The sequence below is a fragment of the Homo sapiens genome, chromosome 12 (genome assembly GCF_000001405.40).
Source record: "Homo sapiens chromosome 12, GRCh38.p14 Primary Assembly".
Taxonomy (NCBI): domain Eukaryota; kingdom Metazoa; phylum Chordata; class Mammalia; order Primates; family Hominidae; genus Homo; species Homo sapiens.
In genome coordinates, this window is record NC_000012.12 from 18,344,202 (window position 1) to 18,369,982 (window position 25,781).

At 38.0% G+C, this 25,781-nt stretch overlaps 1 protein-coding gene and 1 pseudogene across 16 annotated transcripts in view; one reads left to right on the forward strand and one right to left on the reverse strand.

The window, feature by feature from the left end:
• Positions 1 to 25,781, forward strand: part of PIK3C2G (phosphatidylinositol-4-phosphate 3-kinase catalytic subunit type 2 gamma) — a 483,857-nt gene that overhangs the window by 101,241 nt on the left and 356,835 nt on the right. For 13 of the 16 annotated variants that reach the window (XR_931307.3, XM_047429007.1, XM_017019471.2 and 10 more), the window contains 2 exons: positions 2,440 to 2,635; positions 18,563 to 18,685. Coding sequence is in view for 15 of the 16 variants with exons in the window: in XM_047429007.1 (XP_047284963.1) it covers positions 2,440 to 2,635; positions 18,563 to 18,685 (319 nt within the window). In the remaining variant the exon portion in view is untranslated. The remainder of the gene's footprint in view (positions 1 to 2,439; positions 2,636 to 18,562; positions 18,686 to 25,781) is intronic. The other 3 variants (XM_047429008.1, XM_047429009.1, NM_004570.6) reach the window with 1 other exon arrangement.
• Positions 14,232 to 14,943, reverse strand: NDFIP1P1 (Nedd4 family interacting protein 1 pseudogene 1; annotated as a pseudogene).

Sequence of the window (25,781 nt, forward strand, 5' to 3'; positions counted from 1 at the left end):
ACCCCTGGATTCAGAACAATCCATTGGAAAGCAAATGAAAACCTAACCTGCCCTCCACACCCTTAACTGTTTCAGTAAAGAGTCACGTACAAAAGTATATCCTCTCAACTCTAATTCCCACCACTCAAAAGAAGACACTCAATTAAGTTTGAGGAACTCCCCCGTCTCACATCAAAAAGGAAAATAGGGTGGCGGAGGGTATAAAGAAACTTGTGCAAGTACAAAAACCCTATTCTAGGTGTTCATAAAACTCCAGAACACCATAGAGGGAGGGAAGGAATGGACACTTCCTGACAGTATTGCTAACAGAATCTAAGTGGTCGTATGTGGAGTGAGCGAGCTGCAGGCGTGTCTGTATGAAACTGATTCTCCCTTTCTATCAGGAATGTTGTAATGAGGTCTCCTCCCCCATATTCCTCAGGGGACTGGAATATGAGATCCCACAAAACTGTACAGAAATGTTCCTGGAGACTTATATTCTATAATAAATCATGATAGATTTTAATTGAGTCTAAATTGCACATAGATTGTCCTTGCCTCTTTATTTCATGGCACTATAACTCTTTTCCAGAGTAAAATTAGGTGCGATAAACACTTTTCCCACCATATTTCACCACCAAGCCCTGTGTCTTGGGTTCTTAATATGTTTTGATGATGTTATTTGAAATGTAGTCTGCATCCAGAGTTCAGGAAGTAAAACATAATGCATAAGCATACATCTCTATGCAAACTCAAAGTAGCAAATTTTATCCAAGAACCATGTTTCTGCATGAAAAGCAAAAAGTAGAGTTTAATTAACCAAATGGCTAAGTTTTCCCCAAAATATACGCTAAAGCTTAAATTAATAAATCAAATTTATGATTTATTTTAGATGTGTGTTCACTTGCACAATGTTGGGAATTCTTGAAAAGGAGTTTGTGCTTCCTGCTTCAGTATACCAAAAGTACAATTTGGAGATAAAGAAACAAGATGTTTCCATAAATTTATAATGCTCTGCCTCCTGCTGTTCAGCAGAATCTCTGTTGGTTGGCCTCCAAGTTTGATGAGGCCTCTTTTAAGACTATTTTTACACTGCTTTACTCTTCCGCTTCATTAATTGCTACTGCTGACTTCTCAGAGAATTTTAATTACAGGTTTTCTTTTTCCTCTGCTTGTCCCCCCCAGACTGTTTCAACAGAGGGCACAATTTAAGAAATATAACAAATAAGGAAAATTAATCTACCTTATATATTTTGTACAAATTTATGAATAACTAAGTGAAAAATAGCATGTGTTAAACAACAACAAAAATGTTTAATTATAGACAGACGTACTGAGGCACAGACAGGATGTGGGAGGAAGCTCCATGTCAAGCTGGCCCCTTTCCTGAAGCATCCAACTGCCTGTGTGCTGGAACACTGTAGATTATCAAAGGAAATATCTAGCTCTTTGCACTATTTTCATTTCCAAACAATTAGAAACAAAAGGCAATTCATGCTTTTTTAACTTATAAAGTGTTTATTTCTAGAATTTTCTTTTAATTTTTTTTTACTTAAGTTTACTTAAGGTAACAAACTGTGGAAAGCGAAAGTACTGTTAAGACTGAACTACTATATAGGGAATTGCATGTTTTAAAAGCAACTTATAAAGAATTGCATGTGTTTGAATAAACAACTGTATCGACTAACTTAGCACATGGAATCATCACAGCAGATCTTAAGAACACAATTTCTGATGATGTGCTTACTTGTTCTCAATTTCTACTTAGCTGCCAGAGGAAAACTATTAGCTCCTATAACTAGTAATTTTTCATTTTTCTTCTTTCATGACAAGTCACTTTTAGGAATAACCAGTAGACTCCTTTTAAATAACTAATGGCAAAACTCAAGAAAGTCTTTGATTTTGAAGAGATACAGTAAACATCATAAATCTTTCATTTCAAGCTGGTTTTAAATCCTAGCCTTGTACTATTTTCATTCTCTTTTTAATATCAACACATTGTATATGATTAGTGTTCAGTTAATAGTAAACATGATAGCATCATCAAATTTATTATGATTAATTCTTTAGATGGAATTTGTTTGATGTACTTATAAGCCATCTATATTCCTTGTCTGAAAATTAATTTTAAACAATCACAAATCAGAACAAAAATTATTGCAAATTACAGTTGATCAGAATGTCAAATTAATAATTTTTTAAATTCCAAATTGTTATGAAAAGGCCATGCTTCCAAGATTTCTGCAGCTGAAGATCAGAAAGCTTATTGATGTCTAATCTAGCAGCAACTAAACCAGGTTGCATTCAGAGGTACAGATAGTTAATTCTCTTCAATTGGTAAAGGGTCACTTTAATTAAAATTATTGAAATTGTATTATATGACATTTCAAAGCTGTAATTGATGGCCTATGATAAATATGGCCCTTCTTAGTGACTTGATCTCTATCTCTTCCTTTCTAGGCTTGATAGAGAAGGTAACAACTGAACTATCCACATCCATCTACCAGCTAATCAATGTCTACTGTAACAGCTTTTATGCAGATTTTCAGCCTGTAAATGTACCTAGATGCACTTCCTATCTAAATCCCGGGCTTCCTTCCCACCTCAGCTTCACAGTGTATGCAGCACACAACATTCCAGAAACCTGGGTGCACAGGTGAGTGGTGGTGAGTTTTTCACAAAAGCATTCATTTTTACATAGCTTCTAAGTAGAATGCAATTTGTCATGTTCTTATATGCAGGAGCAAAGATTTCATAAAATTTTGGAATTAATCAGCATAGTTTTATCCATATTCTTAAAATCACATTTTAAATGTTTAGATTCAAAATGGATATTTAATTTTCTTTCTTCTTCCATTTCCCATATTTAAATAATTGTCATTGCCAATATATCGTTATGGAAATAGAAAATACTAATTCCATTTAGTGGCTCCTCTAAAATTTTCTTTTTCATGTTTGGGTTTAAATGGCTAATGCTAGTTAAGAAAACATAGTAAGACAAAAACATATGCACATGCAGAGAGATAGAGAGTCTTTAAAAATAGAAAAAAAAAATCACTCTGATCCCCACCAGGTTTCAGTGGTATTTTGCAAGAATTGTACCTTGATAAAATGAGAATTAGCCAAGAATTATTTGCGTTTCAATAGAAATGAACGACAATTACACATGGAATATCATCAGATTTTAAGTTGACTCTGTAGTATTTTCTTCAATAACATAATTACAGTAATATAGAGATAATTAAAGTTGATAAGATAGTAATTTGGTAATGGATTTATTATACTTACTGCATTTAGCATCTCAAGGAAAAACTGAAATAAATAATTTCAGTAAACATTCAACTTTTGGCCGGGCACAGTGGCTCATGCCTGTAATCCTAGCACTTTGGGAGGCCTAGGCGGGCAAATCACTTCAGGTCAGAGGTTCAAAACCAGCCTGGACAAAATGGTGAAACCCCGTCTCTACTAAAAATACAAAAAATTAGCAGGGCATGATGGCACGTGCCTGTAATCCCAGCTACTCTGGAGGCTGAGGCAGTAGAATCGCTTGAAACCAGGAAGCAGAGGTTGCAGTGTGCAGTGAACTGAGATCGTGCCACTGCACTCCAGCCTGGGGGACAGAGTGAGACTCTGTCTCAAAAAAAAAGAAAAAAAAAATCAATCTTTATCTTGATCTGTATTTTTTAAAAAATAAACTGTATAAATATTCAGAGTAAATTAAAGAGGAAATTTTACCTATGTATATAAAAAACACTATCTACACACATATTTGTTTAGAATCCATAAAATAATATTTTTATTCTTTTTCCTTTTATAATTTTATGAAAAATTTTAAAGGGCCGATGTATAGTAAAATAAATTATTACTCTAATTAATGTTTTCTTTTAATTTTCTAACCATCAATAAATACTCCTTAGTTTGAATTCCCATGGAAAATCCCTATAGCCGGATAAATACAGATAAAGCTATATGTATAGGGCATGCATTTATATATGTGTGTCTATATGTAGAGAGACAAGGATAAATATATATATAAATATATACATATGTGTGTAAATGCAAAATGTAAAATATATACATATGTGTGTAAATATACATATGCGTGCAAATGTAAAATGCATATGAATATAAAAAAGTGTGCATTTACGCGTGTGTGTGTGTGTGTGTGCGTATGAATGATCTAACCAACTCTCCTTTTTCTGTCTCTACATAGTACCTACATGCAGAGTAAAAATAGAGCACTTTCTAATATTGTTATATACAGGTAGATGTGTACATATGTACATATAATTATAAATATAAAATAATGCTTTTCTGCAAATGTTCCTATAATCAATAAATAAATTAGGGCTTTGATGAAGGAAACAAAATCATCCCAGCCATTCATTACTGGAACAAACTATAAAGGGCTGGACATGGGAAAACATGAAGCTATTCCTGTCTTAAGGAATCCATGGACCAGTCAAAATTCTTTGGGAAGAGGCTCCAGCAAGATGTCTTACCTCATGACAAATTACATCTTTATTGTAGATTTTCCTAGGGACCTAGTATATAAGTTATCTATTAATACATAACCAATTACCCCAAAGCTTAGCAGTTTAGCACAACAAACTTTGATGAGTTCACATTCTGAGGCTCAAGAATCTGGGAAGCAGTTTTGCTGGGTGGATCTGGCTTAAGGTTTCCCATGAGTTGCAGTCAAACTGTTGACTGAGACCACAGTCATCTCAAGCTCACTGGGGCTGAAGAATCCACTTCTAAGGTGATATTGATGTGGTTATTGAAAGACCTCAGTTCCCCATGGTGTATAGGTGTGGGAGCCTCAATTCCTTGCCACAGAGTTTTCAACAAATGTCCTCAGGCCATAGAGTTGGCTTTTCCCAGAGCAGATGATCCAAGGAATGAGAGAGAGTCCATGAGCAAGGGAACACCACAGACAGAAGAGACAATCTTTGTAATCTAATCTTGGAAGTGGTATACCACTACTTCTGCCATATTGTATCCTGTGGGAAAGCATGATACAAGGGTTCGCATACCAGGAGACAGAATCATTGGGGGCTATCTTGGAGGCAAGACACCTGGGAAGAAACCAGGCCAGAGGTATCTCCAGAAGCATAGGTACTGACAAACTGAGGGGGTAAAATAACAAAGTGACAACTTTCTAGATGGCTTTAGTCAAAAGGACCATAATTAATGTCAGCAAGTGAAACTAATTTGTTAAGGTACAGGACTCTACAATAAAAAAGAGTGAAACATTCACTATCAAATCTGAGGATCTGAAACTGAATTATCATCTACTCCACAGATGCCTTCAGGGAACACCCCACTCAAGCTATCAAAGACAAATGAGAATGTATCTTACTTAGAATAATTTGATTAAACAAATTCTTTCCTTGATTCATTACACTGATTAAGAACTCATTCATATTTATCCTAAATTTCTCATTATATAGAATAGAAATTTAATTACTTAACTTTATCCTCTCTATAGATTGAAAGTGCCTTTATCTCACTCAAAGATGAGATAAATTTATCGTTTTGTGTATGTATTTCATGATGCTCATTATCTTAATAATAGCATATTGTTAGTTCTCCCCCAAGTCCTTTTACAATGTCCGTGTGACCATGCACATTTGTAGGTAGGACTATAGTTTTTAAAAACCTCTAGTACCCAAAACATGTCCTGGCATGCAACAGGCACTCGATAAAGATTGGTTAAAAATGTTTGAACAAAATCCCTTGAATAGAGAAATGTGTCATACTTGGTTTGTGAAATTGTTACATGGGTCTCGACAGCAGGAATACGTAGTCCATGTCGTGGTTATTACTGAGGGCAAAAATGTAAGCTGAGCTGAAAACTATAAAGAAGCAATGACCATACAGGAAGGTAGACCAGGAGATATTCCAAGGAAGCCAAGAAAATATTACAATAGAGGTACAAAGCTAAGTGCCTGAGGTCAAGAGGGCCAGCATCAGTGAAAGTGAGTCCAGAGCAATTAGTGGCAGTGTAAGAGTGGTTGACTAGACAATTCTTAAAATGATTGTTAGTAATAATTAGTAAGAGTTCAGCAGAATCATATTGTTATATGAGGAGATTATAAGTAAGTCAGTAAACATTATTTTTAAAAAATCCCTTAAGTCACTCATAAAGTATGGTATCATTGTTTGATAAATAGAATGCAAAAATAATTATGCAAAAATGCATAATATGTACAGTAATACATATTATGTAATAAAGTATATCTGTGCAAAAAATGATTTGACAGTACTTTCAATTATGGGATACTGTGTGCACAGGGGCAAGTTGAAATTCTTTCTCATCAAGACGATGCCCTTTTTATGGGGAAGATTCGAATGGCATATAGAGGTTTCTTGTCCCATAACCTTTGCCATTAAAAGGTACATGTGTGCAGTTTATGTCTTCCATTCATGTCACTAAAGTCTAATTTATAAACTTGGCTCATCGTATTAGCACATTAAGGAATGTGTGGGAAACAGGCACAATCTCTCAATATAAATACTGATGCATATACCAACCAAATATTGGCATAAAGACCAACATAATGGACTCTGAATCAAGAGCATCATTAAATATAAAGTCCTGACATGGTATTGAAATATTCAATTCACCAGAAAGATGCAACAAAGTAATAACATTGACAGAAATCCGAAGAGTTTGATGGGGCCAATATGATAGTGGGGGATACCAGTATTCCTCTCTCAGGAATTAATACATTACTGAGAAATTAGGAAGGATATAGGAGTGAGCATATAATTAATGAGCTTGATCCAATAAATATATATTGTACTTACAGAAGATAATTTGGAAATACAAATTCTTCTCAAGCACATATAGAATATTTATTTTAAGTGACCAAATATTAAATAGTAGGCAAATTTCCAATAACCTATATAATAAAGATCTCATCCACTTTCTGAGATGCAACTTAGAAAACAGTAACAAAAAATAAATATATTCATAAATTTAAGTATGTACTTTTAATTTTATTAATCAAGGAGTTAGAAAACATTATAACTTAAAGGTAATAAAAATATATAATAAACATATGGAATATGGTCAAAGCTATTCTTAAAGTGAAAAATATAGCCTCACATTATAAATAAGACATAAAAGACTAAAAATTAATATAGCAATCATGTCACCATTTCCTCTATGCCATTTTGCTTTGTTTTGTCCAGCTTATAAAAATCAAGGATAATAAAGTGGAAGAAAAATCTTCTACCAGCATTCTGGTAGAAGAACAACAAACAAGTCCTATATCCTCTGATTTATCCTCATCATAGTACTATTAACTGAGCACATTCTAAGAGTTTTGCTGATTTATCCTCATCATAGTACTTACTATTAACTGAGCACATTCTGTGAGTTTTGCGCTGGGAAAAATACTTAACCTGCATTACAGTTGTCCCTTGTTATCTGCAAGGGATTGGTGCCAGGACCCCTGGAGATAACAAATGTCACAGATGCTGAAGCTCCTTACATAAAATGGCATAGTATTTGTACATAGCATATGCACGTCATCCTGTATACTGTAAATCTTCTATAGATTACTTATAATACTTAGTGCAATGTAAACTATGTAAATACACTCATGCATAGCTTATGACTTGGGGAATTATGTTCTGAGAAATGTGTTGTGAGGCATTATTGACAACCACCTACAGTCTTCAAGACAGTAACATACTGTACAGGTTTGTAGCCTTTGAGCAATAGGCTATCCCGTATACCCTAGATGTGTAGTGGGCTTTGCCATCTAGGTTTGTGCAAGTACACTCTGGGATGTTCGCATAACAATAAAATCACCTAATGATGCAATTCTCACAATATATCCCTTTGTTTTATTTTTATTGTCATTTCAAAAATATTTCTGATCTGTGGTTGGTTGAATCTGTGGATGCATAACCTAGGGATACAGAGGACCAACTCTGTTTTATTTAATCCTCACACCAGTGACACAAGAGCACTATCATACCCATTTTGCAGATTAAGAAATTACAGTTCTAGAACTAATCTATGACAACTCCAGATGTTGTCTTTCTAAAGTCCCTTCTGTTTACCACAGCAGAAGTGAGTATACTTCAGTGTACTTCATCCTTAACTGGTTACTAGAGTTGATTCTGAAACAGGACAGTTCCCGTGACCCTTCTGCAGGACTCATGAAGGGGTTGGCTTGTTTAGTCAGCCTACAGCTCTCAACCCCTCATGGGAGGGGAGGACATACAGGTGAGTGGGTGCAGGGGCCAGGACAAGTGCTTCTGGGTGCTGGCAGGAGTAGAACTCTGTGTAGCCCCATGGCAGTGTCTAGGAGGGGTACTCAAAATCCCTGGATCCCCAGAAGGCATCTGTTACAGTGCTCTCTTTGCCATCCGCAGATGACTTAAGTGTTTAACAGCTCAGTGTGACAGCCCTCTGCATCGCGAGCTGTTGTTCGGCATCCAGGAAGAATCAGGTCACATGAACAAATTGAAGATGGTAAATGCAGGAGATTTTATTGCTGATGAAGGTGGCTCTCAGCAGGATGGAGAGCTAGAAAGGGGATGGAGTGGGGAGGTAGTCTTCTTCTGGAGTTCAGCCATTCCTGGCCAAACTCTTCTTTGAGATCCCGCTGTCAAGCCACCCCTCTGAAGTCAAGCTGCATCTTGCCGATGTCAGACTGCTGCTTCTCTTCTTTCCTTCTCTGCCACTCTGCTGCTCTGCCAGTCTGCCACTCCACCACTCAGCTGCTCTGCCACCCCTCTGCCAGTGGACCCTGGGGTTTTTCTGGGTATAGGATGGTGGGTGGGACAGGCTAAAAAGCAACATTCAAGTAGGAAAACAGGAATGCATGTTCTCACTTTGGGCCGCAGGTCCAAGCTTGAGGGTTTTCAGCCTGGTATTTTCCTGCCTCCTGTCCATATCACTTCCCTGCTCTGAAGAGGCACATCTTACTGCCATTAAAATATGGAAGATGACCAATCTTAGCTACTTCCTGCTGACAGGGGGCATTGTTTTGGGGAAAACGGCAGTCAGATTCCTCCCTAAAGTTTACCTAAGGGTCCCTAGCAAAAGGGAGCCATTGTCCAAGGCTCCAGTTGCCTGACTGTTCAGAGTTTGATGGCCTCTAGGCACATGAGGAAAAAAAAAGCCCAAGTTTTACAAGGTTAAGTATGCATGGGTCACACATGTGTATTATACAAGGAAAGAATCTAGTGCCAAAGATTACAGAAAGAAGAAATGAAATATGCTAACAACATTGTACCCCAAGCCGTTTCACTTTGGTGAAAGAAATTAAACCTTGTGTGGGAGCAGTTAAACTTTATAAGAGAGATAAGTATTCTTGCCATATCTGTAGCAGTCAACAGGTGCACCTTGAGAATTCTGGGATTTGTAGGCTTGCATGGTGGCCATTAAAGCTTCTGCCTCTTTCTTGTGTCCCCCCATCTCTACTGTAAAAACCGAGTTGGCCACTTTCAGGAGGTCCTCTAAAGTAGTATCTGTTCCCAGGGCCTGTTTCTGCAGCTTCCTCCTTATATCAGGGGCTGCCTGAGTAATAAATTTATCCTTTATGTTTAGTTATGCCTCACCAGAATCAGAAGATAGAGATGTGTGCTTTACCAAGGCCTCTCAGCCTTTCCAGAAAGGCAGTGGGATTCTCATCAAATCCCTGGTCTTTCATGAATAGGTCAGTATAGTTGAGAGGCTTGGTCCAAGTCCTACATAAATCCTCCATTATGCACACCTGTAAGTGTCTCTTCTTCCATTCTCCCATCTCATCATTGAGATCCATTCCAGGGTCATCCATTGATACTGCATCTTTCATTTGGATAAAGTTTGGCACCTTCCCTGATGCTATATGTGATACAAAGCTCATAACCAAATCACTCTGTCACTTGCAGAGCAGTCTGCTTCTCAGTGTTAGTCAGGGTTTGCTTTCAAAGTAACATAACGTCTTTCTAGGAGAGTTCAAATACTTGGGTTAAATTCTGGAAAGCCTCTCTATATCTGTCAGGGTCATCTGAAAACTTGCCAAGATCTCCCTTAATTTGCCTCAAGTCCTGTAGGTAGAAGGGGACCTGGACCTTACTGGGGCCAAATTCAACAGGCATCTGTTGGAGGGGCAAGAGTGATACTGGGGCTTGTCTAGGGTATTTCTAGGAGGGGGCAAGCTGGAGAGAGGACGGGGAGAACCCGGAGGAGCAGGGCTGAAGGGAGCTGGCTCCCCTGTGGGAGGTGTCTCTGGGGTTTGTTTCTTTAATTCCCTGAGACTGCCCCTTGCAGCCTCTCCTGAGATGGCCAATAGGAGGGATGGATCAATCCTACACTGTTGGCAAAGGTCTGGATTGCCCTGCAAGGTAAAGAAAGCCTGCACATATGGGGTCTCAGACAATTTGTCCTTGCATTTACAGAAAAGTTCCAACTGCCAGATGATATCAAAATGAATGGTTCCCTCCTGAGGCCAAGCCAGTCCTCATAATTTGGCCAAACCTTTGTGCAAAGGGCTAATAGGCATTTTTCCTCCAGATTTGGAGGGTCAAAGCAGTCGCAGTCATTCAGGATGCACTCCAGAAGAGTATAAACTGGTGATGGTGGAGACAGTTGGTTGCCCATTCTGAAAGACAAGGAAATAGGTATCCCTCATTTCCCTTCCTTCTTTCAGCAAAAACTCAGATGTGAGGGAGGGGAAGCAGGCATCGCCCCTTTCTCTTCTGTCTTCTTATTCTCAAGTCCTGGTGACCTTACACAGATGCCACCCACAGGTGCCATTGCAGCCTGCACCCATGAAGCAGGGAGGTCTTAGAGAATAGGAATTGTCCACATTCACTTATGCCATGCCTCCATTCCCCCTACTGTCAGCAACCTTTGGGTTTCCCAGGCCTTATCTGTGCCATGGAGCATGGCCTCCTTCCATGACGTGGAGGCTTAATTAGCAGAAATTGTCCTGCCCATTTACATTGTGCCTGTTTCCTTGCTTGGATCCCTCAGATCTGGTTTTCCTTCCTAAGGCCTTAACCTGAAGCTTGGAATCAGGTTGGGAACAAAAGGTATTTCAGGGTCCTTTTAAATTAAATCCCAAATGGGCCCTGCCAAATTTGCAGTTATCAGCCAGCAGGGCTCACTCTTCTGTTGCCTCCCTATCGTAAGCAGAGTGCTGAGGTAGGAAAAGAAACCTCTCACTTAGAAAAGAAAAAAGAACAAAAATAGTTTAAAAGGCAAATGGGGGTGGTCCAGGGAAAGAACCTCTTGCTTTCTACGAATAGGTTACTTTAATCATTGTATCTCTCCCCTAGTTCCAACCAGGCTGAACTCCTTGCCAGGGAAAGAAAGAGTCTATGGGCTTGTGGCAGGAGGGGAAGGCATGCAGAGAGCACTGGCCAGCCGGCTGCACGGGGTCCCTGGCCCCAAAGACTACCCTGGGGCCTGGGCAGCATGCACCGCTAACTCCCACCACCCCACTTAGCTGTTGGGCACAGCACATGCATGCTACGGACATGCCCAGGCACCCAAGCCTGGAGGGGAGGGGATGAGAAGGGAACCACCATTCACCTGCCCATCCCATTCACACACCTGTGGCCATTGGGGTTTGGGGTCATACCTCTAAGAACATATGGAAATTGTATTGTTCTGAGTTGCATATCTGATGGCTGGACTAAACATACATTCTGCCTAGTATCATTGCTGCTGTTTGTAGTAGAACCCTTAACATTATAAAAGAAGAGCCAGGAGCCATTTCAAACCATGAAAGAAGGAAGGAAAGATATCAAAGGAAAAGTCTGGGGGTCTTGGCTGACACCTTGATAGACACTTGGGGAACAGGTCCAGTCTTGTGGCCTTCCGGCAATACTGAGGAGTGGCCTTGGCAAGAGGCCTTCAGTTTCCCCAGGACTTTATTCCAGTCCCACATGACAACTAGACCTCCAGGAAGGGAAACAGAGCCAACATTCCTTTTACCCAAAAGAAAGAGAGAGATGGCAGGTTGCATCCTATCCCCTGCAAATGGCATAGCTCAGAGGAAAGTCTGAGGACAAGGAGAGATAAATCCACATTTTGCTTACCCTTCTGAAGTATCCTAGGCAAGCCCCCCGATGAAACGGGATGGTTCCCTTGACCCCTTCACAGGATTCATGAAGGGGTTGGCTCATTTACTCAGTCCATAGCTCTCAGCCCCTCACAGGAGGGGGAACACGCCGGTGACTGGGTGTACGGGCCAGGACAAGTGCTTCTGGGTGCTGATAGGAGTAGAACTCCATGTGGCCCCGTGGCAGCATCTGGGGGGTACCTACAATCTCTGGCACCCCAGAGGACATGTGTTACAGTACACTTTTAGCTTTGCCATCCACGGACAGCTTAAGTGTCTAACAGCTCAGTGTGACAGCCCTCTGTATCCTGAGCTCTTGTTTGATGTCCAGGAAGAATTAGGTCACATGAACAAATTGAAGATGGTAAATGTGGGGGATTTCACTGCCAATGAAAGTTGCTCTCAGTGGGATGGAGAGCTGGAAAGGAGATGGAGTGGGAAGGTGGTCTTTTCCTGGAGTTCGGCCATCGCTGGCCGAAATCTTCTGAAAGATCCTGCTGTCAAGCCGCCCCTCTGAAGTCAAGCTGCTTCTTGCTGACCTCAAGCTGCTTTTTCTCTTCTTTCTTTCTCTGCTGCCCATCTGTCATTGGAGCCTGGGGTTTTTATGGTTATAGGATGGGGCGGGGGGTGGGCCAAAAAGTAACATTCAAGCGGGAAAACAGGAAGACACGTCCTCACTTTAGGCTTCAGGCCCAGGCTTGAGGGTGAGGCTTTGCCAGGCACCCCACCCTTTTCTGTCTAGTATTTTCCTGCCTCCTGTCTGTATCAATACCAAACTCTTTCATTCTAATTATCACATTAAATTGTTAGGCAACAGTACATATAAAAGATCAAGAGATGACAGCTATAAAAACTAAAAAAAGATATCTCAAAATGTTAAGAACATTTTATTTTAAAAGACCTGTTTGCTGTTTAGATATGTGGGAAAATTTGCTACTTGCAGAGAATTTCTATTATATACATATATAATAGTTTAAATTAATATTGCTTTTACTTATTAAGATTTTTTACAAGATTTTATAGTTTTGTCAGGAGGTGTGGGTGTGTGTGTGTGTGTTTAATGTTGGAAAGCTCATCAGATATTGTGTACAAACATGTTTTACATTTAAGTTAAAAATATTCAAACACAGTATGTACTTTCCAGAACTGCTGCGAAATATTAGCACTATTGTTAGTTATCCTATGAATTCATTAAATGTTTAAAAATCTAATGCACACAAATTCTCATTCAATTTAAAATTGCAAAGTGAATAAGTATTCTTAGAAACTTTGGCTCCAATGCTGAATTTCACATTAGAAGTTTATACAAAAATCTAGTGCTAAATAATTTATGTTTACCAGAACATTAGCATATTGTTTCTTCTTTTTCAATCTTTTAAAAATTGTGGTAAAAATACAGAAAATGAAATCTACCCTACTAAAAAAGTTTAATTGTAAAGTACAGTAATGTTAACTACATGTGCATTGTTGTATGGGAGATCTGTAGACCTTTTTCATCTGGCATGGCTAAAATTCTTCCTCTTCCTTTTCTATCTCCAAGTGCCCGGTAACCAACATTCTACTTTTTGCTTTCAAGAAGTGGTATATTTAGTATTTGTGTTTCTGTGATTGGCTTATTTAATTTAGCATAATGTCCTTAATATTTATCCATGTTGTAGTATGACAGGATTTTCTTCCTTGTCAAGGTTGAATAATATATCATTGTATGTATATACCATGTTTTCTTCATCTATTCACCCACTGGTGAACATTTAGATTCTTTCTACATCATGGCTACTGTGAACAATGTTGAAATGAACATGGGAGTTCAGATAGCTCTTCAAGATCTTAATTCAGTTCTTTTGGATAAATACCCAGAAGTAGGATTGCTGGATTATATGGTAGTTCTATTTTTAATATTCTGTATTCCACTTTTTTCTGCTCTCATATTTATTATTTCTTTTCTTCTGCTAACTTTAGGCTGAGTTTATTTACCAAACTAACATTTGCCAGTTCTGCTTACCGGAAGTAGTCCACTAGGCACTTGCATCCCACACTTGGCTTTATGCCAGCAAGCTGGGATGCTTACCCATTTAAAATGTAAGGATAGTTTGAGATCATTTCAACCCCAAGATGTCTAATAATTTATGATCATCACATTGGATCGGGCACCTTAACTCAGCATTTGGTTCATCTCACAGCAGCAGTGCTGACCATCAAAGTATCAAGGAAAACAGGTTAGAAATTTGACTCTCAGGACCCACTTAATTAGAAAGAGACCAAATTCTGAAATGGTGTCATACCTTTCTGCCACTGAAGCAGTGAGGCAAAAAGACAGGAAAAGAACTTAACCCAGTTAAGAAGAATGCCAGGACAAAAGTTAACCAAAAAAAATTCCTATCCTCAGCTGGTCAGCATCATCAAAATCATCCTGTCCCACAAAATCCTCATCTCTTCCAGGAACCAAAGAAAGAGCTTCAGCCTTGATTCTCATGACTTTATTATAAATTGGTAATGTTTGCAACCACATTGTAAAATGGGGGCTTTGGAAAATTAGACTCATCTGTGTAGTCAAATATACCATACTCTCTGCAGAGTTGATGCCATAAGGTGGAGGAACCTCACCTGAAGCCTTCTCAGGTTCCTCAGGCTCTTCCTCATTCTATAAATGTTGGTACTTGCTGCTGCAGACCAGCTCAACTGCCACTGGTGCCACTAATGCCAACTCCATGGTGCAGCAGGCTACAGGGAAGGGAGGGCGAGTGAGCAAGCTGAACAGGTGAGGAGCTGCAGCCTGGGAGTGCTGAAGGGCTGAAGGCAAAAGGCTGAAGGCAAAAGGCCTCAGGTGGATCTCAATGGCAGCCACTGCACCTGGGCAAGATGCTCTCCTCAAGCTGTAAGCACTGCCAATTCTGAGATGTTTTGTAATTGCCCTTTTGATTTCTTCTTTGAACTGTTGGTTTTGCCGGAGTGTGTTGTTTAATTTCCACCTATTTGTGAATTTTCCAGATTTCTTTCTGCTATTGACTTTGAATTTCATTCTCCTGTGGTCAGAAAAGCTACTTGATATTATTTGAGTTTTCTTAAATTTGTTGAGATTTGTTTTGTGACCTAACATGTCATCTAGCCTGGAGGGTGTTTCCTGTTTGCTTCAGAAGAATATGTATTCTGCTCCTGCTGAGTGGAATGTTCTGTATATATCTGTTAGGTCCATTTGGTCTATAGCGTTGTTCTAATCCTCTGTTTACTTACCTTCTGTCTGGTTGTTCTACTTATTAAAAGTGGGTTATTGATGTCTAGTATTATTGTATTGCTGTCTATTTATTCCTTCAGCTCTGTCAATGTTTGCATTATATGTTGGGTGTTCTGATATTGCTTTATATATTGGGTGTTCTGACGTTGGGTACAGATATATTTAAAATTCTTATATCTTCCTGGTCAATTTACCTTTTTGTCATTATACAATCTCCTTCTCTTTTTCTTGTTATAGTTTTTTACTTAAACTTGACTTTCATGGTGTAAGAATGGCCACCCCTGCTCCCCTTGGTTACTGTTTGCATAGAATAGCTATTTTATCCTTTCATTTTTGGCCTATTTGTGTCCTTAAATCTACATTGAGTCTTTTGTAAGTAGCATCTAGTTGGATCTTATATACTTTTTGTCCATTTAGCCATGCTGTTGGTTAAATGGATAATGTCTTTTGATTGGGGAATTTAATCTGTTTACTTTTAAAGTAATTAATAGTAAAGGACTTACTATTGCCATTTTGTCCATTGTTTTCTGTCTTGTATCTTCTTTGTCTTTTCCTCTCTGGCTGTGTATTTTTAGTGTTTGTTGTTATTTTTGTGGGGGAGGTAGTGACTTGCTTTGATTTTTTTCGTAATGATATGTTTTGATTTTTTTTCTTGTTTTTTGTGTATCTTCCATAAGTTTCATTTTGTGTTTACCATGAGTCTTATACAAAATATCTTATATTTATAACAACCTTCTTTAACCTTTTAACTAAAATTCAATCACATACGAAAACTCTGTACTTCTATTTCTCCTCCCACCACACTTTATGTTATTGATGTTAAAAATTACATCTTTTTATATTACATATCAATTTATTGTTGTAGCTATTTTTGTACTTTTATCTTTTAAATGCTACACCAGAGTTAAAAGTAATTTATTTAGCACCATTACGGTATTCTGTATTTGTCTATATATTTACCTTTACCGGTGAGTTTTATAGTTTTACATGCTTTTGTGTTTCTCTATAGCATTGTTGCATTTCAATTTGAAGGACAGTGTTTAGCATTTCTTACAAAGCAGGTCTTGTAGTGAGGAACTCCCTCAGTTTTTATTCACCTCATAAAGTATTTCTCTTTCATCATTTTTGAAGGATGATTTTATCAAATATGGTATTCTTTAGTGACAGGTTTTTCTTTCAGCGTATTGAATATATTATTTCTCTCCCTTCTGGCTTACAAAGTTTCTGCTGAAAAATACACTAATAATCTTACGAATGTTCTCTTGTACATGATTAGTCATTTTCTCTAGCTGCTTGTGAAATGGTCTTTTCATCTTTTTGACTTTTTATGATTTGATTCTAATATGTCCCTGTGGGGTCTTCTTGGGCTTCTTCATAGTTGGCATCCAGTGGGTTTCCTGAATCTGGATGTTCATTTTCTTCCCCAAATTTAGGAAGTTTTTCACCATTACTTTTTCAAATGAGCATTCCTCTTTTTTTCTTTTTCTTTTTTTCTCTTTCTGAAAATCCCATAACGATACATTGATATATTGGCCGGCTTGACGGTGCCCATTATTCTCTTTGGCTTTCTTCAGTTCATTGTGGGGTTTTTGTTATTGTTGTTGTTGTTGTTGTTTTCATTTTTGGCTTCTCTGGCTGGATAATTTCAAATAACCTGTCTTCAAGTTCACTGATTATCTCCTCTGCTTTATCAATTCTGCTTCAGAATCTCTGTAGTAAATTTCTCAACTCAGTTATTGTATCCTTTAGCTCCATAATTTCTATTTGGTTATTTTTATAATATTTTCTATATCTTTCTTGATATTCTCATTTTATTCATCCATAATTTTTCATTGAGTATCTTTATGATGGGTATTTTGAACTATTTGTCATGTAATTTATACAACTTTATTTTCTTAGACTTGATTTGTTTTGTTCCTTTGTTTCTTTAGCTAGGTCATGATCCCCTCTTTCTTTGTGTGCCTTATTACCTTGTGTTGAGATATGTGCATTTGCAAAAACAGCTAACTCTCTCAGTCTTTATGGTCTGTCTGGCTTCCCACTGAAAAAAAAAAACCTTCAAAAATAAGCCTTGCTAGAGATTCTGGGTGCCTTCCAAACCTTTCATATGAGCACATCTTCACTCTGCTTGTACTTGTAAATTCCCAATTAGAGGGATTTTGCTGGTTTCTGTCTTGTGGAGCTCATGTTTTCTTGCTTTTTCTGGTGTCTGTCTGTGGTACTGCAGGTTCTCTGGAATTTCTGTGAGGTGATCAGATCTTTTTGTTTTCAGTAGTGTGGACCTAAAGTATGCTGCCTCCCATCAGTGCTTCTAGTTGGATAAGACAGAAACCAGTCCCTCAGGCAATCTCTTTAAAAGCTGAAGTGTTGGACATATGCTCCTTTCTTCCCCATCACTTTCCCTGACCAGGGAGTGGCTGACAAGGTATATAGGCTTTGTCCACTGTACCATAGGACCTCTGGAACAATAAGAAGCCACCCAACTTTTTTTTTTTGTTCTCAACAGTCTCCAGGCATCTAGGGTATGCAGGGTCCTGTCAGTGCTCCAAGACAGACAAGACAGAAACTAGTCCTTCTGATAGTAGCCCCAAAACTGGAATGTTGGACACACGAATCAACTCTTTTCCTACCCAAGGAGAAGCCATAAATTGGGTTTTTTTAAAAAAATCATTCTATGCTGAGTTGTGGAGAGAGGCAATAGCAAGTACGTGCTAGTAAAAACCATCATCTTTGTTTTCAGTGGCCCCTAAACTGGTGACATTTCCTGTCATCATTTATATCCAGGAAAGACAAAAGCTAGTTCCTTGTGTAGCCTCAAAGGTGCTAAGTCTAAGTGTTAGATGTACGTCCCCGTGTTCTCTTTCCCTCCTTGGTGGGAAGCCAGAAGTTGAGAGTTTCTTTCTGATCATGCCACACTGTGCCAGGGAAGAGGCTCTGGTAAGTGAGTGCCACAAATTTTTCTACCAACTTTGACATGGCTGGTTTTGAATTCACCTGGGATACAGGAGCCTCTTAACTGGTTTCTGGTTTTCTTTCAAAAGGAATCGGTCAGCATATTTTTCTCTCCATGAATAAAGGAAGGTCTTAGGGCCTCCTATTCCACTGTCTTTTTGACATACTCAGCCTAAATTCTTAAAGCAATTTTTAAAGCATGCTTTATGCAAGCAGTCATCACTTTATCATTTGACTTTTGACTACAAAAATAATTGACCCATATAGAAAGCTAGTTTCTTTAAAGTGCTAAGCATATTGAATTGATGTTGTTTCATTTTAGCTACAAAGCGTTTTCTTTTACCTGTTGGCTTACATATGCTGGAAAGAAGCTGTGCCAAGTGAGAAACTACAGAAATATTCCAGACAAGAAATTATTTTTTTTCTTGGTCAACTGGAATGAAACGTAAGTTTAATCTTTACTGTATCTGGATCATTTATGTAATAAATGTCAGCTTTTTCCCCCTTTTTTTAAAAGCAAGGGATGTAATTTAAAAAAAATATGCTGCCAGTTGATTTGATTCAGTGGTATGATAAGTACACTAGGGCTAATAGATAACTGATTGTTCAATTCAACAGATTAAAAGTCCATTTAGAAACCTAGACAAGTGTCCAATTCACATTATTGAACTGAGAAAAAGGGAAATTGAAAAAAGAAGAAGACTTATTAATCATTCACACACTGTGCATATCAGGAATATGCTCTCTTTGAGGCAGGAGTGGAGGGAGTCCAGGTGTAACAAAGAAAAGACAACCCTCCTGATAACGTGGGTAATCTCCATTTTCTCAATTTTCTCACATAAGCTGAAGTACAAATTTATTTAAACAATCAAGTTTTTTTGACAATAAACATCTATAGATGTGTAAGCTTAATTTGGGGTGACTGGCTCCCACTTCCTTCTTCTGTAAAGATTTGTTAAGTCAAGAAGATAAAGTAACTTCCTAACATTATCACTGTCTTTCTCCACTTTTTTGCTCCCCGCACCCAACTTAAGCCCTCTCTTTACTCAGAACCCCAGGGGGCTCATCAGCCTCATTCACAGCTCTTCCATGGTTACTGCTGCATTTCCTCACTGCTCTGCCAGCTTGCTCTCAGTCATTTCCCTGCAGTCTGTATTGCTTCACTCAGATCAATATTCTTCCCACCTCAAGCAGAAGAAAATTCCCCAGCCTACTTCCCCTCAGCTCTTTCAGATGATCTGGCTTTCTTAGAAGACAGTTTGACTCCCGGTATGATGCTTTTCCATTAATAAATACGTGTCAGAATTTGTAGAAGAGGATGATGTTAGATAGCACCATCTATTCTACTCTTACCACAATCAATGGAGACTGTGTCCTGAAACATGGCATGTGACCTTCAATTCTCGCATACCTCATGGCCCCTCCCATTCCAAACTAAATCTGCCTTCTTATAGGACCATGACAATCTCTATCTCCCCTTCTTTGGGTAAGGTTCTTTATTCCTTTGACCAAAGACCTGACATTCAATAATAATATCCCTTTTTCTTTCATAGAATCAACTCTGCTTGTAAAATTTTTCAGTAGCTCTCCAATTCTTATAAGGCAAAGTACAAATCATTTAGCAAAGCACACAAGGCCTTTTGTAGTGTGGCCCCTACCTATCTCTGCATCTTTACCTCTAGAATTAACCCCATTCCCCGTTCTTGCTATCCACCAGTCATTTGCATCTTATCTACTTACCCTAACTATCCCTTGACTGTCCACCAGTCATTCTTTGCATCTGATCTATTTACCCTAACTATGAACTGAGAAGTCAGGCCTCTGCCAGGGATCCTCCATGTGTCAGGAACACAGTATTCCACTTGCCCATCTGGGAAACACATAATTATCTTTCACGATGCATCTTTTACCTCCTGTATAAACCCTTCCTGTATCATTGGGCAAAATTGTTCATCTTTTCTTCCCTTGCTTGGTCTAACCTGTAAATTTCTCTTACAGTACCTACTGTTTGTTTAGATTTCTGTATGCTCCTACCGAATAATACAAAGATTTTTTTTTTAATTTTATTTAGTCGACAGCAGGTAAAGCAGCACCAGACAAAGGGTCCAGTAAGTGTTATTGGGCAAATTAATAAATTTTGTGTAACAAGTGACTCCTTTAAAAAGTTATTAACCAACCCAGGTGCGGTGGCCACATCTATAATCCCAACACTTCAGGAGGCTAAGGCAGATGGATCACTTGAGGTCAGAAGTTTGAGACCAGCCTGGCCAACATGGTGAAACTTTGTCTCTACTAAAAATATAAAAATTAGCTGGGCATGGTGGCTCACACTTGTAATCCCAGCCACACGGGAGGCTAAGGTAGGAGATTTGCTCAAACCCAGGAGACAGAGGTTGCAGTGAGCCAACATCACTCTACCTTGGGCTACGGAGCAAGTCTAAAAACAAACAAACAAACAAACAAACAAACAAAACCATTAATCAGTTCAATCCCTAAAATTTTTCTTCTGATTTAATTAAAAGTAATTTCTGGTTGTTTTAAAACATCAGATTTATTTTCAACTCACACACTTATGCCATCATATAGATAATTCAAGATAAAAATCTAATTCTAAACTCAATTTCAAAGAAAAAATTCTGAATGCTAGTTCTGATACTTACTGATTAACTTGGCCCAGTTCCCACAACCAGAAAGTGTCAAAGCTAGCATTTAGACCCACTGTGACTCCTAAGCTGATGGTTTTACTGTGACTTACATACTTTTCCATACAACATATAAAATCTTGACAAGAGTATTTACATCCCATGAATAGTATTCAAGTTTTAACTTAAGAAATAAAATAACAACCTCTATTCTGCTCCATCCTCCTGCCAGCAGCTACCCCATTTCTTTTCTCTGCTTTGTAGTGAAACCTTCCAAATAACTATCTATATTCACTTTATTCAGTTATCTTTTCTCTGCTCTATAACATACTCCAATCAGGCTTTCATCACCTCTGCTCCACTGAAATTGTCACCAGTAACCTTCATGACTGAATCCAATGTTTGTTTCTCAATCCTCATCTTACATGACCTATCAGAAGCTTTTGGCACTGTTGATCTCACCCTCCATCTTGAAATTTGCTTTCCACATGGCTGACTCTTACCTCACTGGCCATTTGTTCTCCATGTCCTTCTCTTCTCCCAGACTGATTATGATCTTAGCCCTTAACCCTCTTCTCTGTTGTATATGTCATTATTCCCTCACTTTTCTCTTACAGTTATATACCTTTAAATACAATTTAAATGCCAACAGCTCCCAAATTTATATCACTAACCCAGCCATCAGTCACAAACTCCACACTTAGAGAATCAATATATCCTAAACTAAATTTCTGATCTTACATTTCAAACCACTCCACCTATGGATGGCCATTCTGGATAATCAATTCTAATTCTGGTTGTTCAGATCAAAATCCTTAGCCTGAATCTCGTTTCAGACCCTATGTTCAGAAAATCTTAATGGCTCTCTTCTCAAAACATATCCAGAATATGTTCTCATCACCTTCAATGGTCTAAAAAACCATCATCTCTCCTCTCTATACCACAATAGCTTTATAATGGTCTCCCTACTTCTCTTACACCTTTGTAGTTCTTCTTGCACAGCAGCTAAAGTTGTCTCTTTAAAATATCAGTCAAGGCATGTCATTCTTCTGTCTAAAAATCCTGAACTAGCTCCCCATTTCACTCAGTGAAAAGATAAAATACTTGCAATGGTCTATTGTTTAGTGTCTTCATTTTGTTTCAGTATTAATAGGAGAGTTCTAAACAACGTACTTTCAGCCAGGTGCAGTGGCTCACTCCTGTGATCCCAGCACTTTGGGAGGTGGATCATTTGAGGTCAGGAGTTCAAGACCAGCCTGGCCAACATGGCGAAACCCCATCTCTACTAAAAATACAAAAATTAGCCAGGCGTGGTGGCCTGTACCTGTAATCCCAGCTACTCGGGAGGTCAGGGCAGGAGAATTGCTTGAACACTGGAGGAGGTTGCAATGAGCCGAGATTGCACCACTGCACTCCAGCCTGGGCAACAGAGTGAGATTCTGTCTCAAAAAAATAAATAAATAAATAATTAAAAGTGTAGCTTTCAAAATCTCTCATTTTTCACTCTCAGAAGCTTACTCTGGTCTTAGCAAAACTATTTCATATACAATAAAACAATTTTAAGAAAAATTGTAGTGATTATTCATTCTTAAATAGTATAGTGAGGCAAACATGTGGTTAAAACTTGAGATCTATACTATACCTGTTCCTTGGTTTAAAAAAAAAAAGCAATCTGTTTCCGCTTACTGATGTGTCTCTTATTTTTTTTTCCTTTTTTGTCTGAAAGTTCATTCCTTTGACTTTTAAGTAGCTATACAAAAGTTAAAAAAATTTTCAGTGAAGTTGAGATTATTCTGGCTTTAAAAATTCATAGGTATTAAAGAATGGATAAATAACTCCTTGGGAAGCACTTATTCTTATCCTAAAGGAATTTATTTTTCTTAATAAAAATGACAGAATGGAGATTGGCAGTAACTATCCACTGTAACTTATATAATTTCTTTCATTCTTGTTATAAAAAAAGCTCACTAACAAGTGAAGTTATACATGAAGAAGCCAGACTTAATGGGAAAAAAAGAACATTCTAGATCATGTGAGAAATAAAGTGAAATTACAGTTTTCATCCTAGCACAGAAATATGAAAGCTGAATAGAAAGTCAATTATAAGTAAAAGAAAGAACATTAAAGAAATTGCTGTGCATTCCACAGGATCATCAGCATTTTATGTCAAGTTTCAGAGCTTCTTTTAAGCTGAGAAATATGTCCATACTACCTTAAATGAATATGACAAGTGTGAAAGAATTTGAAAGAAAACAAAGAGAGGACGTTTAGTTTTGGATACCGAAATATCTAGGTATCCAATTTAATATTTTAATCTAAAATTTGACAGTCTTTAACAATAGAAGATTCTTCTCACTCTAGTATTTTCTTTATTTTTCTCCATTAAGTCTAGCTAGAATTACGTATTTGTCAGTTCTCACAGTGTCATAAAGATACTACAAGAGACTGGGTAATTTTTTATTTTTATTTTTATTTATTTATTTTTTTTGAGATGGAGTTTCACTCTTGTTGCCCAGGCTAGAGTGCAATGGTGTGATCTCGGCTCACTGCAACCTCCGCCTCCCGGGTTCAAGCAGTTCTCCTGCCTCAGCCTCCCAAGTAGCTGGGATTACAGGCATGCATGTGCCACCACGCCTGGCTAATTATGTATTTTTAGTACAGACAGGGTTTCTCCATGTTGGTCAGGCTGGTCTCGAACTCCTGACCTCAGGTGATCTGCCCATCTTGGTGGGAGTGCTGGGATTACAGGCATGAGCCACCACCCCTGGCTGAGACTGGATAATTTATAAAGGAAAGATGTTTACTTGACTCACAGTTACACATGGCTGGGGAGGCCTCAGGAAACTTAAAATCATGGCAGAAGGGATAGGAGAAGCAAGTACCTTCTTCACCAGGTGGCAGGAAAAGAGAGAGAGCAGGAGAAGCTGCCACTTAGAAAACCATCAGATCTCTAAGAACTCACTCACTATCATGAGAACAACATGGGGGAAACCGCTCCTGTGATCCAGTCACCTCCTCCCAGGTGCCTCTCTCAACACCTGGGGATTAAAATTCGAGATGAGATTTGGGTGGGGACACCAAGCCAAATCATATCAACTTACATTTCATCTGTCTACAAGGAATGTGTTTTTTACAAACCTGTGTATTAAATGCACAATGGCTGATACAAATTATTGTAATAATAATTGAATAAATGAATATAATGCGGTATACAACCTACAATTTGCCATATATTGTGTTATAGAATAGCAGTTCCATTTTGTGCAAAAGGAAAAGTAAGACTTAGAAAGGTTAAATGCATTACTTAGAAAGGTTAAATGCATCTTAGTCAATAGGGTCATTTTTTGAGCATAAATAGATCCAAATAGATCCAAATCCAAACTTGGACCCATCCTATCCGCAGACAGTTTATATATTGGCATCTCACAATTATCATTAACTCAATAACATCATACCCTAAACTATACTAATTATTCCCATCCCATCTTCTTTATTCCCTATCAGTTAAAAATATCTGTCGTAATCTAGAAACTAGAATTCGTCTTTAATTCTTTATTGTCTTATTCCACTGGTATGCCATCAGTCAGGTATTAGTTATGCCTTTTACTTCTAAAACAGCTCTTCTATCTTTCATCCTGTTAGCTGCTCTATAACCACGCTGGGTCTGGATTTGATTATCTCAGTGGACACCATGAGTAGGAGAGACAGATGTACTTCCTCAAATTCAATTATGGTCATTGAATTAAATTAACTTCTCCTTATCCCCAAGGCTGGATGCTGTACAGGCACTGAAAAAAAGAAGTCACCAATGTTTGATTTGAAACCCTGGGTAAAAACTGCTCCCTAGGCTCCAGATTAGAAAGCCAACTCCTAGTGTGAGAAGATGCTTAATATTACCTGAGGCCTCAGCTGGGTGAACCTCAGTCCGCACCTTTCAGTTGGACAATAGGCTTTTGTCATCTTCAGTACTCTAATAATCACCTACTGCTCTAATAATTTAACATCAAAGTTCAACTGGGAATGACAAGGCCAGTAGATTCTGTGTATTTCCCTCACATCTCATGGCCATCAGGTATCATCCCATAAAGATGCTCGGTCACTCTTCAAGTCTCTTTGCTCTTTATCCTTCCCATTCATCTGTGATTTATCTCCCATGACTCTGGCCCTGTCTGCCAAACTTTGTTCCAGTTTTCTCATTCCTCTTTAGCATTCTCACCTACTGTAAACATATCTCCCCATCTCAACTCCTAGAAAAAAAATTTCTTTCATCTCCTTGTCTCATAAATAGTTCTTTCCTAAACACCAGGCTTCTCTGAGGCATTATCATATAATGATCATATAATTGACATATGATCATATAACGATCGTATAATTGACATATGATCATATAACGATCGTATAATTGACATATGATCATATAACGATCGTATAATTGACATACGATCATATAACGATCGTATAATTGACATATGATCATATAACGATCGTATAATTGACATATGATCATATAACGATCGTATAATTGACATATGATCATATAACGATCGTATAATTGACATATGATCATATAACGGTCGTATAATTGACATATGATCATATAACGGTCGTATAATTGACATATGATCATATAACGGTCGTATAATTGACATATGATCATATAACGGTCGTATAATTGACATATGATCATATAACGATCGTATAATTGACATATGATCATATAACGATCGTATAATTGACATATGATCATATAACGATCGTATAATTGACATATGATCATATAACGATCGTATAATTGACATATGATCATATAACGATCGTATAATTGACATATGATCATATAACGATCGTATAATTGACATATGATCATATAACGATCGTATAATTGACATATGATCATAT